Here is a 2,010-nt window from a genome sequence, read left to right as displayed (position 1 = left end):
TACAAATTTGTTTCTGCCAGATTTTGACTTATCTGGAATTCATTGCTACTTCCTTATTCATTACTTTTATTGAAGGTTTTCCAAAATTTCAAGACTGTTCACAATTATTAATCTCTTTAGGAATCTTTTGTTTTTACTACTTATTTTTTCTGCCTCTCGATTGATGATAGCATCATCATAAGCATTTTATAGGTAATGTTAATATGACTCTGAATATTCAAAACCCAAAATGTTGAAAAATTTTGTTTTTGTATATATATCTATGTTTAAAAAAATGAAATATTACTACAAAACATATTGCAGATAAGTAAAGGATTTCTTTTTCTTCTGTCCCATTTATTAAATTTCACGGGCAGCAGTTCATGTTTCAGCTTGAGTCCTTCTCATCTCCTGTTCTATATTGTAAGAGTTCAGTCAGGGTGGTGAGAAAAGTTGTAAGACAAAGTTACAGGGAATGACACAAACCTTCTTGGAAGTCTGGGAGGTTTTGCAAAAGTTTCAAGAGGGAATTATGACTGAAGGCAGCCAAATCCTCTTATCCAGATCCTGAGAGCAAAGGGCAGATAACAAGGGAATGTAAAGGAATTTATCTAGATAAATGTGTTTACTCCTGTCTCTAGAAACCAACCTTTGATCATTCTCACACAGGACTGCTCTCTACTTGGGGGGTTGACAATGTTAATTACCCACAACTTGTGTTTGCTCCAAGCCTTAGTCATTAAATCTGACTAAGGCGATTTGTAGCCAGCTTATGGGGGCTGCACTCTCTTGGCTACTGCACTGTCTCCCTGGTGCTGCTGAGCTGTGTGGTCCCCTAGCCTTGCTGTCAGGCAAAATACCTGTGTCAGCATACTGCTTTCATTTGTTGCTTAGCCAGAGTCTGCGGGACAGACTTGGCACGATATCTCTATGTATCTAGCTAGCTAGCTAGCTGTCTCCCTTTCTATTAATCGTTTATCATCTGTCATCTAACATCTATCTATCATCTATCCCTTTATCACCTGTCCATCATCTGTATCTATATGTATTTATATAGCTATATATAAATATATCTGTATGCATATATATCATATATATCCATATCATTTAAATTTATAGATTCTATATTGTAATATTTAAATATCTGCTTTTCTGATGAATATTGAGTTCATCCCCAGATGTTGATTTGTATTGTCTTCCAAATTTACTCTTTCATTTTTTCATTTCTAATGTGACTGAATAAATTTTTATGTCTTTGACTACTCTGGTTTCCTATGTGCTCTGTTTCTTACTGTTTTATTTTAAATAATGTAATTTTTACATGCTGTTGTTTATCTTTTTTATGTAGAACATAGAAACTCTTAAAATAATATCTAGATGATCAGCTTTCTCTATTTCATACTTGAAAATATCTCTTGTCATGTATTCAAACATCTAGGGTATCTTTTAACATCTAAAAGTTATTCTTTTAATGTGGAAAATATATTTGTCTTGTTATGTGGTTTCATATTTAGGTATTAATTCATCCTTACATGAAGAATATATTTAATATTCTATATTTATTTTTGACTTAAAATATTTTTCACTTTTAGATTTTTAACTAACCAGTTGTGTGTGTGTGTGTGTGTGTGTGTGTGTGTGTGTGTGTCTGCTGTGAGTCCAATAATTTTTTAAATAAACTCAACACATAATACAATGAATAATATCTAATTTTCTCAATATCTGTGTTGGTATGAACCTGTACAAATTGCATATATGTGGAAAACTGGTTGGGATTCTTTATTCTTTTTCAATGACCATTTCAATTTTTATGATTTATTACTTTAAATTATCATTGGTTATTATATGTCTTGATATCAGATAGATTTTGTGTAATCTTTCTCCCTTACAATTATTTTTACTATTTATGCATCTTCACAATTTCTTATAAAATTTGTAATTACTAATTCAATACTTACAGTTTTGTTTAAATTGTATTAAACCTGTGTTGAATCCATAGGTCAATTTGGAAGAAATTGGTTCTACAGTATT

At 31.3% G+C, this 2,010-nt stretch overlaps 1 annotated feature.

The window, feature by feature from the left end:
* Window positions 387–587: a silencer, noted in NCBI's record as "peak5213 fragment used in MPRA reporter construct". NCBI's record gives its function as "represses an SCP1 promoter by STARR-seq MPRAs in K562 erythroleukemia cells {active_cell/tissue: K562}" and the evidence as "EXISTENCE:reporter gene assay evidence [ECO:0000049][PMID:32103011]".

The sequence above is a fragment of the Homo sapiens genome, chromosome 5, assembly GCF_000001405.40.
Source record: "Homo sapiens chromosome 5, GRCh38.p14 Primary Assembly".
Taxonomy (NCBI): domain Eukaryota; kingdom Metazoa; phylum Chordata; class Mammalia; order Primates; family Hominidae; genus Homo; species Homo sapiens.
Note: the sequence above shows the minus strand (reverse complement) of the source record. Positions and strands in the feature narration are given on the sequence as shown.